Source organism: Homo sapiens, chromosome 9 (assembly GCF_000001405.40).
Source record: "Homo sapiens chromosome 9, GRCh38.p14 Primary Assembly".
Lineage (NCBI taxonomy): Eukaryota > Metazoa > Chordata > Mammalia > Primates > Hominidae > Homo > Homo sapiens.
The window spans coordinates 11,348,549-11,365,608 of NC_000009.12; the positions used below are offsets into that span (position 1 = coordinate 11,348,549).

General features: G+C 33.6%; 1 long non-coding RNA gene across 4 annotated transcripts in view; it reads right to left on the reverse strand.

Moving 5' to 3' along the window:
* LOC105375974 (uncharacterized) overlaps window positions 1-17,060 on the reverse strand; it is a 248,630-nt gene that overhangs the window by 94,580 nt on the left and 136,990 nt on the right. For all 4 annotated transcript variants that reach the window (XR_007061893.1, XR_001746618.1, XR_929476.2 and 1 more), the window contains exon 2: window positions 8,199-8,343. This is a non-coding gene — a long non-coding RNA (uncharacterized LOC105375974). The remainder of the gene's footprint in view (window positions 1-8,198; window positions 8,344-17,060) is intronic.

The window sequence follows — 17,060 nt, forward strand, 5'->3', positions numbered from 1 at the left end:
CGCTCCCAAAGCAACATGAAACATTTCCCAGGCTGCATTTGCCAACCTTGGCTCAAATAAATGCTCTATAATAGTGCTGCCACGCTTTCTTCCTTCTGGTTGACAGGTCACATTTATTTGCCAAAAATAGTTACTTTACTTTTAGACAAGTACAAAGGCAGTTTTGGGAAGACAGAAGTAGGTATATTTTAAAAATTTCCCCACATTAAGTCCATGTGTAGCTCCACTGGGATGAATATCAGACAGTCCCTTCTTCCTCAACTTGCTCCTTTTGTTCTATTGTCATTTAAATAGAAATCTCTTTTGTCCTGTGTTCTGATTTCCTCTCCTACCAGTTCTTACTGTATTCTGGTAGTTGGCTATAATGTCTTTACTTTCATGGTGCTGTTTCTTTCCTGACTTGAGCCTGAAGAGTATTCAGAGATTTCTTTATGGTAATATAAATGATGCAGGATTTTTCTCGGCCCCTTTGCCAGGCTTGCAGCAGGAGGTGCCCTGTCTACCCGGCCCACCAGGCCATGTCCGGCTTGTGCTCCAGCCCCTGGCTCCTACAGCTACTGCAACTGTGTGCTCAGCCCCTGGTAGGTGGTGGGGTGTGAAAGAGCAAGTGCAGGGTCCAGTCAGCTGTTCAAAATGCCAGCACAGTGATGGATTCCATGCAGGACTTGCTGCTGGACCAGGCATGTTTCCCCAAAAGGAATGTGGTGGCACCCAGGCAGGGGTGCACATGACCCCGAAGAGACTGGAGGGGTGTTGCAACATGCTAATTAGCTCTTTTAGTCCTGCCATCCACAGCCTGACAGACAGTGGCATGTTAACAGCACAGTCGGCCTCTTGCCCTGCTCTGGACCATAGCTCCAAGGCTGGCTCAGCCCTGCCATTGCTTCCCATGGTGTAGAGTGGCTGCCCTCCTCTGGCAAAGAACAGATGACCAAAATGTTATAGCTGTCTGAGTACCCACGTTTGGTGGGTCCTGAATTCTCGTCCCCCATCTAAGAAGAATGAGGATACGCTGACAACCAAAGAGTGAGGGAGGTGGAGATGAATTTTACTGAGTAATGGAATAGCTCTTAGTGGAGAAGGGATGTGGGGTTGGTCCCTCACCCAAAGTCGGGTGGTTTCTCTTCCAGTGTGGCTGGGTCCGGGGCTTTTATGGGCTCAGAATAGGGGAGTGCATGATGATTGGCTTGTGAGTATGCAAAAAATAGTTAAAGGCACCACTCAAAGGTAAGCATAACAGTGTAAAAAATCAATTAGAGAAGGGTAAGTATATGTAAAATAGGTGAAGGGTGGGGATCAATGAGAGGAAAATGCACCAAATGGGAAGAGAGGTTCTCAATCTAGTCCTTGGATTTACCTGGGACTTGCAGCTAGGCTTTAAACTCTCTTTGGCTTGAAGGTGTTATTTCATTGGTCGCTCACCCCTGTCCGCCTAGGATTTGTCTATCTCCTGCCACTATCATAAACACCATTCCAAAGTATTTTAAATTCCTTACAATGGAGTATCAACCAGGCTTTTCTCCTAATAGGGCCCTTCCTTCATAACAAACTATGAATAATTATCTGTCACTGTCTTACCAAACACCAGTTCCCTCTACGGGTGAACAGAAGTAAAGAAGGTGACAAAAATAGGTTGGGGTGACAAAACAAAATGCTTTCCTGCTGTACTTACTTCTGCTATCTGAGGAATAATTCTTAAGAGAGCAAGGTATTATAGAGCTCAAGCTGGCTCCGAGAAAATGATGCAGTAGGTTTCTCAGTCTTTGGCATGTCTCCAGACTCAGCCTCGTTTGTCTCTCCTAACATCTCACCTTTTCTTTCCTGTGCTCCCAAGGGCAGGCTGCACATGTCTACCAGTCCCTATGAAAGTGTTAGCTGATAATTAAGATGATAGCTAAAGCCTAAGGTGTTAGCTGACACAGTTTAAGGTATAAGCCTCCTGATGAATTTACACTTTAATCAGGGACTTTGAAAGGTGAAATCCTAATTTTGTTCTTTTCATTTTCAATGCTCCGTCTTTAATATTTTTTATTATGAATATTCATGAAGAATATTCAACTCATGTAATTAGGGTGAAATAAACATATTTATAACTAGATCTATCAGTTCCCATAATCTGATCCTCTTTCCATCTGCACTATTTATGAACAACATTCAAAACAAAACAGTGGCCAAAAAATAGATATATGGACCACATCATGCAGAGCTACTTATAATTGCCTTTATTTCCTTCAGCCAACTCTTTCAAAAGTCAAAATGACTATTAGTAACCTTAATTGATATTTAAAATTGAAGCATGGCCAGCATAGGATTCTTAGCTCCTACTAATATGAATAAAATTGGTGTGATTTCTTAACCAAAGAAAAATGGCACAAACTTGCCAGACAAGTATTTTATTGACCTTGTTCGTATTTATTCTAATTGATTACTTTCAGGGAAGAAAATGTCATAACTTTGGAGGGTGACAATATCTTTGATTATTTTAAAAGTTTTACTTCATTTCACAAATCATTCTTCTGTAATTTCTATGGTTTTCTTAGTATTATATCTGGATAGTACACTTTCACTAACTGTATGCTTTCTTACAGTCTGTATTTTATATACAGTTGTTGGTATACCACTTATGACCTTTTCTATCTAGGTAAAGCATTGCCAAGATCTTCACATAAGATGATTTTCTAACCAAGTCATCCTTCTCCTTTTCATCTGAAATAATTTTATGTTTTTTCATTTAACCTATTTCCAGTTATCAATATATATATTTTTTGAGACGAGTTCTAGTTCTATTGCATAAGCTAGAGTGCAGTGGCACGACCATAGCTTACTGCAGTCTCAAACCCCTGGGCTCAAGCAATCCTCCCACCTCAGCCTCCTGAGTAGCTGGCCCTATGGGTGCATTTCACCAGGCCCAGCTAATTTATTTTATTTATTTATTTATTTATTTATTTATTTATTTATTTATTTATGTCTTTTGTAGGAATGGAGTCTTGCCATGGTGCCCCAGCTGGTCTTGAACTTCTGGGCTCAAACAATCCTCTTGCCTGTGCCTCCCACAGTTATCAATATTGAAAGCCAGTTACTGATGATAAGATAGGTAAGACTGAACAATGGCTGAACTTATGCATTAATTAATGATTGGGAAACCCCTGAATCTTTGTGCTGTGAGTTGAGAAGTTTGATCTGGCATCAATGCAAAAAGATGTATAAGAGGCTGAAAGTTATTAAGGGCCTCAGCGTTAGCAAGGCAGAGTGGAAACAGAAGGATGTACATGGGGTTGGACTAAATGCAATATTCCTGCTGTTAGGCAAATGATTACCTGTGGGAGGACGGTGCAACAGATCCAAAAGTTTGAATGACTGTGAGTATAAAAGTAACACTGAAATCTGAGGATAGTTAGAAGAGGTTTAGGAAGCAAGAGTGAATTCAAATGGAATATACTGAGGTCGAGTTACCAGAAAGATATTTAGAAATATCTTGAAGATAATATGACATTTTAGAGGTGACGCTAAGAGAATACATATGTCTAGAGAATTATATTTCAGAATTTAAATTAGTAGAATTGAGAAGTAAGTTTTTGTTCCCAGAAAGAGGATAAGATGAACCAGGAGTGCCAGTGAACAAAAAAAATCTTTGAGAAATATGCAAAAATAAGAAATGGGAGGAAGGAATGATGACCAAAGAGACTAAAAAGGAGTAATCTGGGAGGTGGAGTGAGAACTGGTGTCATATATTTCACAGAAAATGAGGGTTCAGAAATATTAAAAAGAGATGTCATGTCTAGTATTAATAGCTGTCATTAATATGCACTAGACCCTTTACTAAGTACTTTAAGTACCTTATCTCATTTAGAGTTCAGAACATCTCTTTAAAATAGAAGCATTAGTTGCACAAAGTAATAAGTCTCAGAGTTTCCTAAGGGCAACTATTCAGAAATTAACAAAGCTATATTTTGAATCTCAGGCTGTATGAATGCGATGTAACCACCTACCTACATTATCTTAAAAAATGACTGTATCCTAAGATTGAGAATGAAAAAGGGTCAAAGTGTTTGTTAACTAAAGAGTGATCTCTGAAAGAGTAGTTTGGGATATGTATCAGGATAGAAGCTTAGTGATAAATAATTGAGATGTGAATGCACAGTAGACATTGTAGAGAGTGACAAGAAATTTGGCCCTGAAAACAGACAGCTTAGTTTGATGGGTTAGCTGAGTAGAACGAAGGAAATACATTAAATGCTCTCTCTCTCTCTTTTTAATGATTAAGGAAACTAGAAAATCACTATGTGTTAACAGAATCGTTTTACATTTGTAATATGGTAGTTCTGTGGGTCATTGACTCAGAGATGAAAGCTGACACAATTGAATAGCAATTTATGCTCACTGATGCATCACTGGGAAATGACCTAAATTAGATAGCCCTTTTTAAAAGTAATTACATACATGACATTAAAGAAAGTGAAATGCTAAAATACTAGGCAGAAATAAAAAAGAATTACATTAATCTTGTAGAAAATAATGCTTGTTTTGTTGAAGAAATATTAGTATCCATAAACTTTAGACTCTATCACTTCCTGGCACAGATATATAAGTTACAAAAATCTGAAAATATATACATATTCATAAGCCTGGGATGGTGCTTTTCAAAGTTAAAAGAAAGTGACCAGAGCCTTAATTTTATTTTTTGTCTTCCAAGACATGAGTAATTTTATAATTGTATGATATATTATAGTAACATAATGCAAAGCATGTCTGGCTGAGAGCCACTATTGTGGCTCTTGTGAGAAGATTTGTGTAACTGATATTTTGATTGAAGGTTCTAATTAATTCGACAACATTATCCAAACTTTGAAGAAACTAAACATATTAGAGTATGAGATAGAACATTGGTGTATTTTGTAAAATTTCATTTGATATGGCCCACAAAGGTGGAAGAAAATTCATTATTTATTAATATTTATAATATCATTTTTCTAAGGGACAGAAGACATGTACTTTTTCATGCTGGGGCAGCTGGCACTTAATTCAAATGCACTGTTCTTCACTCTAACACATTAAAAGACATTTTGACACAAATAATGCACATTTTTAATACCTTCAAATATAAGCATACACGTAAAACACATTAAATGATTGTCTATGGGCAGTATATAGGCCAGGATACGAACACACACACACAGACACCTACAGACACACACACATACACACTTCTTTTGTCTAGGTGTGGCCATGTGACCAAGTTATCACTAAGTAAATGAGAGTAGAAACAAAATATGCACTCACTAGAGGGCCTCTTCTATCTATAGGAAATGTCTCTTTGGGCTTTCTCTCCTTCATGCGGATATGCAGTCACCCAGTTCTGACTATATAGAAGACACAATTACCTTGGAAAGAGCAGCCCAACAGTATGGAAAAAATATTCCTTGAATGACCTCAGGAAAAAATGTTTTCTTCATAGCCTAGACTTTACTGACTGTTATAGAAAGGAAAGAGATAATAATAGTAATACATTGTATTGAAGCAAGCTTTATTCTCAGTTGAATCAGAATTCCAAGGGAAGAGACTAAGATGTGTTTGCCTTGTCATTGACCACCAATAACAATGACATTCACATGCAAGGCTGAAAGTTTTGTACCACTAACTGTCCCCAAGAAAGCCTGATTGGAAAGTATTATTAATTGTAAGTTAGAACAAAATAATCTTTTTGGAAAGGGCTGTAAATTATCTAAAATCTTCCATTTTTCTTCTTAATTATACAATTTTTCCTAATTTACACAAATTAGGAAAAGAAAATTCCTATCTTTATTGCTCAAGATTCTCATTCTACACTCATCCCACAGGTAGCCTTGCCCGGCTCACAGAAGTACATTTTATTTTATAAATACATATACTTGCCCATGCAATTTTCCATAATAAAATCATGTAAGCCATAATATTTAAATAACTTTTTTTCATTCACAAAAATATTATGGACAGATTCCATGTTCAGCACATATAGTTCTACCTCTATTTTTTCTGGAAATGCTGCTTAGTATTTGATTCTATTCCTCTGCAAATAGTGGAATAGTCATTTATCATGGTTATTTAGATTGCTATCAGTATTTTTCTATTACAATATATGTTTTAATAAGTTGTTCACAGGTGTGTATATAGATTAATATGTATTTATGTACTCAAGCTACTATTTCTCTAGCTAGATTCATAGAAGTATTGTTATTCTGAATACAGCAAGCATAATTCATCCTAAAATCTTTCCCCCAAAATGTTGGCCCCACAAATAATATATTAGAATATCCATTCTCTACACTCTCACCACCAGATGTTAGGTTTTCATCTTCAGAATATGATTAATTAAAGTTTTTGTAAGTGGCCAATATCAGTTATAGAGACACATGACATCTCTAAGTAAAATGTGTGAGGAGAATTATTTAAATATCGAAGTTCACTCAGATAACATAAAGTAGGGTAATGGCTACTAACAGTTGGTGTGTGTTATATATGGTTAACTTTCTGTTAGGAAGCATAGTAATTACATTGCCCCTTTTTAACCTTTCAAAATATATGTAATGTAAATGTTCTCTTTTTGTTCATATTGTTCCCTCTAGAAGCATCAGATGGTGTAATCTGGATTTACACCATCACGGTAATTGAAACATGAATATATTTGAATTGCTTTCACAATTGTGAAGCCTGAATTTAATTATTTTTCTTAAGATGGGTAGTAGGATACAATCACAAAAATAAACAATATATTCCCTGCTGTTCATGGCACTGTGTCAAGTACTATACAGCATGAAGCTAATACAGAGGACATTACGTTAATTCTCAAAGATTTGCATTTGAAATTCTTTAGGATAAAAATTAACATGGAATGAAGTTGATTGTGATTTAAAATAATCTCATATTCTTTTATTCATTTCTATTTTTCTTTGCTACTTTCCATCTTTTTGTATGCAAGGATGAGGGAAATAATTGACTATTTTCAGAAAGAGTAAAAGAGAAATGACTAGAAAACACGATGTAGTAGAGTAACTGAGAAACTTCAAGCAATGTAAAGCAAATGGGGCTTTAAAAGATGACACCTAGAAAATCTGATTTTCCCAGAGTCTGAATTACTAGAATGGGAAAAACTATACAGAAAACAGAATAGTGAAAACGTGTGCAATAAAAATGAAATACACCATTTTATCACCTCAGAAATCAGACCAATAATAAATAAATATTCTGTGAAATGCAGGCTTTGCCATTAAGATATCAAAAGCCTTTATACCAAAGTGGCAAGTTCTTTAAAAGAAATGAAAGCAAATTCCAAATTGAGGGTATTGTTCAATTTAAAAATTTATAAGATCCTGTGATTCCTCACACAAATGTAATACGGTGCAGAACAACACCAAATTACCATTCTGCCCTCATCCTACGCCTGAGGAGTACATTACTGGGAGGAAGACAGGTTTCAAATAATATCAGAGAAACATATAGAGTAAATGTGTGTGCAAAATTCCCAGTTGTGCTTGTTTAATTAGATGCTGGTAACAGCAGCAAACAATAGTAAAGAAGGCATGGAAATAGAGTGTTAATGAGATTCAAATAAATCAGATATCACTGTTGGAATACAGATAAAAGACAAGCTCCAGTATATCTGCATTTTAATCAGCCTGATCACAGTTTTGATGAATGTGCCAAAGGGACTGTTCTTTGCTCTGTTTTCATAGTGAGTGAAAGGCAACAAAAGGAGCAGTTTTGATTTTTACACTTCCTGACAGATGAGTCATATGGGATTAATGTTGGAATTCATTAAAGCTAGAATTCTACCTAAGGATCATATTTCACAGGATATATACATTACCATTTTATAAAGGTGACATTTAAGAGCCTGGTTAGCTATTTAACAGATTTTGGCAATTGGACAGGACCTAAGTATATACACATGATATTACTAAATATATATGCATACATAAACACACAACACAAAGTGTGCTACATTGCTTAGGAAAATATTCTGAGCCATACACAAAAAAATTAATTTTGCTGGTATTAAATAAAAGCAAGAACTCCCAAATACAGAGTCATTCTCATTATCTAACCATGCATTAACCAAGTTTCTAGAACTGCAAGATATTTTAAGAAGAAAAATTATTTTATTAGGTAAATATTTACTAATAAATTAACTGCTAAAGATCAGCCGCCAACTAGGTACTCACCACTTAACATTAGAGTTTATTCCACTTGGGTCAGGCACAGTGGCTCATGTCTATCCTCCCAGCACTTTGGGAGGTCAAGGATCACTTGAAGCCAGGAGATCAAGAACAGCTTGGGAAAGATAGCAAGACCGGGTATCTATAAAAACTGAAAAAAAAAAAAAATTGGCTAGGGTTGCTGACACACACCCGTAGTTCAGGCTATAGACCTAGTTACTCCCTTGTCCCAAAAAAAGAAAACAAAAGAATTCATTGCACATGGATAAGTCAGTCTTATACTGAATCTCAGGTGTATAGAACATTGACATTATAGTGCAAATATAATAGAAAATAAGATCCAATGAAAATTACAGATCTTGAAAAGATGCAAGATTTTATGAAGTTGATGAAATTGCTGGAGAACTGCTCAAATAATCTACAAGAACTTGACAAAGGAGATTTTTTGATAATTAAAATGGATAACGGTCAAGTTAATTTTCAAACAATGTTTAATACTTCCAAAGAGGATGTCTTGAAGATCAAAAGACCTAGGATCATTGAAGAATGGTAACACTCCTGAATATTTTTCCTAAATACCAATTTTGAGAACACATTATGGAAGCCAAAGATGAAGCAAGATATACTATATCACACCACCAAATAATACTTTTAGAAACAAAATTTGATTAATAATCATTTATTAATATTTAATTTGTCCTAAATTTCAGATCATATATGTAATTATGAATCAGAATTTTTCTCAATACACAAAAATATTTTTAAAAATAACATTTTAAACATTTTTTCTTCATTTACTATTAATTTAGACACTCCCATCTGTGCCTGCAATATAAGTTTGAATCACTGAACTTATCTGATTGACTTCTTTAGGCTAAAATATCTATCATTCTGCTAGGCCGGGCATGAATAAGACATAGCTCCTCTACAGAAGCTCACAGTTTACTGTAAAGAACATTCATGTAAACAATAACAGTATTCCACTGTGATAACCAGAATAAAAGTTGTAAATTAAAATGTGAAATTTAAATGCAAAATTTGGTATCTTGGGTCACAGAAAAAAACACATAGATTCTATTTGGTAGAGAAACAAATGAAGTCATATTTTTTGTACCTGTCTATACTTTTCTTAATTATGAAGATTCATTTGATATTGTTATGAATATATGTGTTTGTATTAGTTTATATTTTCTATATTTGCCACATTTTATGTTAATCTTTTCTCTCCTAGCATGCATAATTTATCTCTGACAGTATTTCACAACATTAAATCAGCTTGGGGAATATAAAAGGACATCATAACTGTAATTCTGAAAGATTCCAGGAAAAGAAAGATGGCTGTGTGAAAACATGTACTTGGTCTGAGAATGACAAAGGGTAAACATATAAAAAATTAGAAATCTTTAGAAATAAGTGCTACAAATTGATTTACTGAAGTGGTAGTCTAATTTTGCTCTTTTGCAAGAAAAATATCTAACAAATATCAAGTCTATATAGCTTGTCAGTTGCTTTTTCAGATACAGTCATGTAACATACAACCATAATTTGGTCAAGAATTGACCACATATACTATGGTGGTTTCATAAAATTACAATGGAGCTGAAAAATATCTGTTGCCTAATGATTACTTGATGAAAAGTATATAGAAAAGGAATACAAAAAAGAAAATATTTTTCTATAGCCATAGAACCGTGCTTTTTAAGGTGTTACTGTAAAAGAGTCAAAAGTTTTAAAACTTTAAAATTTATAAACCTAAAAATGTTACAGTAAGCTAAGGTTAATTTATTATTAAAGAAAGAAAATTATAAAATAACTTCAGTGAAGTCTAAGCTTACAGTGTTTGTAAAGCCTACAGTAGTTAGTGTACAGTAATATCCCAGGTCCTCACATTCACTCACCACTCACTCAGAGCTTTAGTCCCGTAAGCTTCATTCATGCTAAGTACCCTATACAAGTGTAGCATTTTTAATCTTGTATATCATATTTTTAGTGTACCTTTTCCATGTTTAGTCTTGTTTAGATGTACAAACACTTACCATAGTGTTACAATTGCCTACAATATTCAGTTCAGTAACATGCTAAACAGGTTTGTAGCTTAGGAGCAATAGGCTATACTATATAGCCTAGGTGCATAGTAGAATTTTCCATCTAGCTTTGTTTAAGCACACTCTATAATATTCACACAATGATGAAATTGCCTAATTTGGGGGACGTATGCTATGTCCTCTGGATAAATAATTTTCTATTTCTAAATTAAAACCCTAGAGAGTGACCATACATCTTAGTTTGCCTGTGATATAACTTGTTCATATCACATGTATTAAGCCACCTTAATGTTTATAAAGACTTTTTTATTCTTAGTGTCCTGGTATAGAAAATGAATTATCTGCTTATCGTCCATGGTAGACTGTATTTATGTGAGTAAAAATGTAATATAAAATACATACTCTGCAGCAGAGATACTAGAGACTGCCTGCCATAAAGTAATTGCTCTTTACTGAATAAAATGTGTGTGTTTCCAAATAAAAATTTATGTGGATTAGACCACAGTCTGAGCATGTGTTGTAACAGTGGATGCAAATCACTATATGGCTATTGCATAAACTTCATTTTCTGAAAATTTGTGTGTGTATTTTACAATTCTTTGGAAACTGAATAAATTTTGCAAATAAATATTTTTTAAAATAACAGAATTCATCATTTTAAGATAAGCTTCTATTCTTTATATTTTTAAGGAAAATATTACCAATTAATTCACGACCTGCCATTGATTTTCAGACATATCTGATTTTCAGACATGTTAACAGGTAGATTAAAAATTGAAAAAAAGCAGTACAATATTTCTACTCTGTGTAATAACAAATTAATAAAATGGTATTACTGGTTATCACATTATTTACTCTTTATAAATATATTTGTGTTAAGTAGACATCAGTGCATCAATTTTCCTGTGGAGGTCATCATATTCTGTTCTGTGGGATCATAATTTAACAAGTCAGGAGGCTGTGCAATATATCTTTCAAATGTTTAATATTTCTAGATATCTCACTTATGTTATATGTGAATTCAACATTGCACTTATTTATATTGAACATGTTATGGTGCCAGAATCTTTCCTAATGATAATATTCACCCATTTTGACTTATGAATATTTGTTTAATAACCCATTTAGGTCAGGCACAAAATCAAAATAACTCTATAATAGTGCATTTGGGGAAGGTTCATTTTAACAATTCAGTGTATTTTCTTATTTGCAATCACATAGAATAGGGTTGGCTCTCAAGCCTGAAGTTAAGCTGGAGTTTAACACATATATGGAGAAAAGACATTTGTTGGCAACTACCATTCTGCTTTCTGTATCTATGAGTTTAATTTTTTTTAGAGTTCACATATAACGTAAGTGAGATCATACAGTATTTCTCTTTCTTTGTCTGACTTATTTCACTTAGTAAAAGGTCCTCAGTTTCATCCATGTTGTTGCAAATGGACTTCCTTCTTTTTTAATGTCAGAAATATACCACCATCCCTGCCCCGACCCATACACATTTAACTTCTTCCTTTCTGATTTGAATGCCTTAATCCCTCTTTTTGTTTTTGTTTTCTGTTTTTGAGACGGAGTCTCACTCTGTCACCCCGGCTGGAGTGCAGAGGCATGACCTCAGCTCACTGTAACCTCCTCCTCCCGGGTTCAAGTGATTCTCCTGCTTCACCCTCCTGCATAGATGAGATTACAGGTGCATGCCACCACACCTGGCTAATTTTTGTATTTTTAGTAGAGACAGGGTTTCACTGTATCGGCTAGGCTGGTCTCCAACTCCTGACCTCAGGTGATCTACCACCTTGGCCTCCCAAAGTGCTGGGATTACAGGCGTGAGCCACCATGCCTGGCCTGAATGCCTTTATTTCTTTTTTAACCTAATCACTCTGACAAGTACTTCTATTACTATGTTGAATAGAAGTGGGAATCCTTGTGTTGTTCCTGATCTTAGAGGAAAAGCTTTTAACTTTTTTCACCATTGAGTATGATGTTACTTGTAGGTTTGTACTATATGGCCTTTAATATGTTGAGGTATGTTTATTCTATAAGTAATTTGCTGAGAGTTTTCATGATGAAAGAATGTTGAATTTTATCAAATTCTTTGTGCATGTGTGTATTTATTGAGATGATCATATGATTTTTGTTCCTCCATTCTGTAAATGTGGTGCATCACATTTACCAGCTTGTGTATGTGTAAGCATCCTTACATTCCTGTGATAAATCCCATTTAATCATGTAAATGACTCTTAATGCACTGCTGAATTTGGTTTGCTAGCATCTTATTAAAAATTTTTACAATTATGCTGTGATGATTGACTGTCGATTTTATTGGATTGAAGGATGCAAACTATTGTTCCTGAGTGTGTCTGTGAGGTTGTTGCAAAAGGAGATTAACAGTTGAGTTAGTGGACTGGGAGAGGCAGACCCACCCTCAATCTGGGTGGGTACCATCTAATCAGTTGCCAGCATGGCTAGAATAAAGAAGGCAGAAGAGGGTGGAAAGAGTAGACTTGCTGAGTCTTCTGGCCTTCATCTTTCTCTTGTGCTGGATGCTTCCTGCCCTCAAACATCAGATTCCAAGTTCTTCAGCTTTTTGACTCTTGGTCTTACACCAGTGGTCTTGCACTTACACCAATGCAGACTGAAGGCTGCACTGTTGGCTTCCTTACTTTTGAGGTTTTAGGACTTGCACTGGTTTCCTTGCTCTCAGAAGCAAGAATGCAAGCAAAAAGATAACGGAATAAGATTTCTAAAATATTTTTGAAAACTAAATATCATCTTTGCTGCAGCATGGTTGGAGCTGGAGGCCATTATCCTAAGCAAACAAACACAAGAAAAGCAAACCAAATGCTGCGTGTTCTCACTAGTAAGTGGGAGCTGAACACTGAGTATATATGAACACAAAGAAAGGAACAACAGACACTGGAGCCTACTTGAAAGTGAAGGGTGGGTGGAGAGTGAAGATCGAAAACTACCTATCAAGTACTATGCTTATTACCTCCGTGATGAAATAATCTGTACACAAAACCCCTATGACACACAATTTACTTAAATAGCAAACCTGCACATATACCCTAAATTTAAAATAAATAGACAAATATCAACCCAAAATTTTATGCCCAAAGCAAATATCTTTCCAAATTGGAGACAAACTAAACTTTTTCCGAAACTCAAAGTAATTTATCTCCAGAAGACCCAACAAATGTTTAAAGAAGTCCTTCATAAAGGAAAATGATAGCAGGGAGAAATATGAATCAACATGAAGGAACGAAAAAATGCTGGAATTAGTGTCTATAAGGCAAAATACAAGAGAGTGTTTTTCTTGTTACTTAAATATCTCTGGAAGATAACTGTTTAAATAAAAATGATAAAAATGTAATGTGACATATGAAGTAACAGATGATAAATAAAATGTATACCAATTATATATAAAGGGCAAGAGGGGAAAAAGGAAGTATATACTTGTATGGTTATTGTGCTATATGCGAAGTGGTATCACTTCTGAGAGGGGACTAGGAAAATTTCAAAGTAGTTGTTATAAATTTTAGACTAGTCACTATTGTAACAAAAAATAGTTATCACTAATAGGCCAATAAAGAAGATAAAGTTCTATTATAATTACTCAATTAATCTAAAGGAATGCAAAATAAGAAGGTAAAGGAGAAAGAAGTAAAGAAAAATAAAAAACAAATATCATGATTATAGATTAATTCTAAGCATATCAATAATCATAGTAAATGTAACTGGTACAAATGATACAATTAAAAAGCAGAGATTGTCAATTAAATAACAAACAATAAACAGCTACCTGCTACTTAAATATGTTTCAAACATAAAGACTCACAGATGTTAAAATTAAATTATGCAGAAAGATATGTCAAGTAGCACTAACAAAAGGTAACTTGGAGTGTGTCTATTGCTATCAGATAAGGTCGTTTTCCGAGTAAAGCATATTACCAGGAATAAGGAAAGGCATTTTATAATGATAAAGGAGTTTACTTATCAAGACAGTATAACAATCATAAACAATTATGCACTTTATAACAAAGTTTAAAAATACCTAAAAAAATACTTATAGAAGTTAGGAAAAATAGAAATTTCAGAGTTATAATCAGAGATGACATTTACAGAACGCTCTATCCAACAACAGCAGAATAAACATTCTTTTTAAGTGCACATGAAACATTTAATAAGATAGGCTTACTCTGGACAACAAGACAAGTCTAAATACATTCAAAATAATTCAGCTCATACAAAGTATGTTCTCAGACCAGTATGGAATTTAAGTAGTAATCAATACCAGAAAAAAATGTTCAAATGCTTGAAACATAACTAATAGACTTCTAAAAAAAATTATACCTTAAAAAAAGAATCAAATTGGAGAGTATTTTACCCTTATTGCAAAGACACATCATTTCAAAATTTGCATAAAGCCATTCAAGAAGCATTGAGGTCAGGGAGGTGGCCTATCATCCCAGCACTTTGGGAGGCCAAGGCAAACGGATTACTTGAGCCCAGGAATTGGAGACCAGCCTGGGCAACATGGTGAAATCCTGTCTCTACAAAAAATACAAAAATTAAAAAAGGAACATTGGGTAAATGTATAGTATGAAACACCTACATTAGAAAAGGAAAGGTCTCAAATTAATAACATCAGCAAATTCCCTAATAAAATTAGAAAACTAAGAGAAAATAAAGTTCAAAATAAATAAAATAAATAATAATAATGTGGGTGCAAATCAATGATTAGAATGCATAAAACAATAAAGAAAATCAATGAAACAAAAGGCATCCCTTTGAAAAGATCAATAAAAATGATACATTTCTAATCTAACAGATTAAGAAAAAAGAGAGAAGATCACACCTTACTAATAGCAGTAAGAAGAGAGGTGACACCACCACAGATTATGTATGTATATTAAAAGACAGACATGGTAACATTATGAACAACTCATTGTCAATAATCTCAGCAATTTATGAGAAGTGGACAAATATCCTGAAAGATGCATACTACCAAAGCTCATTCAAAAAGTAGATAACCTAAATAGCTACTTACAATTAAAAAACCTAAATTGGTGATATAAAATATTGTAACAAAATAACCTCTAAACTTAGATACAGTCACAGGGAATTTTATAGTACATTAAAAATATTAATTATTTATTAACTTTTCCCAAAAATGAAGAGGAGGAATTAATTTTCAGCTTATTCTTTGAGGCTAGAAAATAGGTAGCAAAATAAAGCAAAAGTATAAAAAGAAAAGTACAGATACATATTCTTTGTGAATACAGATATAAGAATTCTAAACAAAATATTAGCAAATCATATTCAACAATATGTTAAAAGGATAATGAAAAATGACCATGGACAGTTAAGTCACCAATTTAAGACTGTTTTAATATATAAGCATCAATCAATGTAATTCACTCCATTAACAGATTAAAGAAGAAACTATTGATCATCTCTTATAGACACATAGAAAGCATTTGGAAAAATACAAATTTCATTTCTGATAGAAACTTTAAGCAAAGTAGAAACAGAAAATATCTCAAACTGATCAAGGGCATCTATGAAATCCTGACAAAAAATATTATATTTAATGGTGAAACACTGAATACTTTCTTCCACATATCAGGACAACAATGGAGATGTGAGGTCTCACCACTTCTATTCAGTATTGAACTGGAAGTTCTAATCATGCAATTAGCCAATAATAATAATAATAATAAGGGGCATCCAGTTTAGAGATGAAAAACTAAAATTTAATTCTCATATGAATTTATTCTTTTTTTCAAAAAAATTCTGTGGAGATTACAAAAAACAAATCAAAGTAAATAAACAGAAGCAGCTTCTAAAATAAACAGTTTAGATATTGCAGGTTCTAAAATAAATACAGTACAATCTACTGAGTTTTTGTACACTAACAATCAGAAATTCAAACAAAAACACCTATACAATTTAAAATAGTATAAAATACACCTTCAAAGGGATTGATCCAACAAAAGATCCACGAATCCAATACAACCAAAGATACACACTGAAAACCATAAAGACTCCTGAGAGAAATGAAACATTAAATAAAAAACCTTGTTCATGTGTTTAAAGTCTTCGCATTGTTAAGATGTAGAATTGATATCTTGATATACTGATATATATCTCAAATTGATATATAGCTTCAACAAAATCTAATATAATTTTTACCAGCTTTTTTTAATATAATTGACAAGCTGATTCTAAAATTCACATGGAAATGCAAAAGACATACAATGGTTAAAACACTGAAAAAGAAGAACATTGGAAGACTAACACCGTATGATATAAGACTACAACAATCAAGATAATGTGGTAGTGTCATAAAAACACACTAGCAAATCAATAGAACCTAATAGGCCAGAAATAGACCAAATCATGTATATGTAAACTGATTTTACATCAAAATGCAAAGAGAATTCAGAGGAGAAAGGATATTTTTAATAAATGGTATTAGGAAAGTTGGAGATACGTATAAATAATACACTATTGATTCCTATCTCACATATTATATAATAATTAACTAAAAATGAATCAGTAATTTACTTAAATGTAAAGCCTAAACCAGTAAAAATTCTAAAAGAAAATCTTTACAGCTATTGGTTTAAAAAAGTAGCTTAGTTTGAACATCAAAAACACAATTTATAAAAGAAGAAAAAAGATTAATTAAATTTCATCAAAATGTAAAATGTCTGCTCTCCATAATACACTCTTAAAAGAAGGAAAACACAAACCATAGAGTGGAGAAAATGGAATTGTGTCCATAATGTATAATGAATTCTCAAAATGCAATAATAAA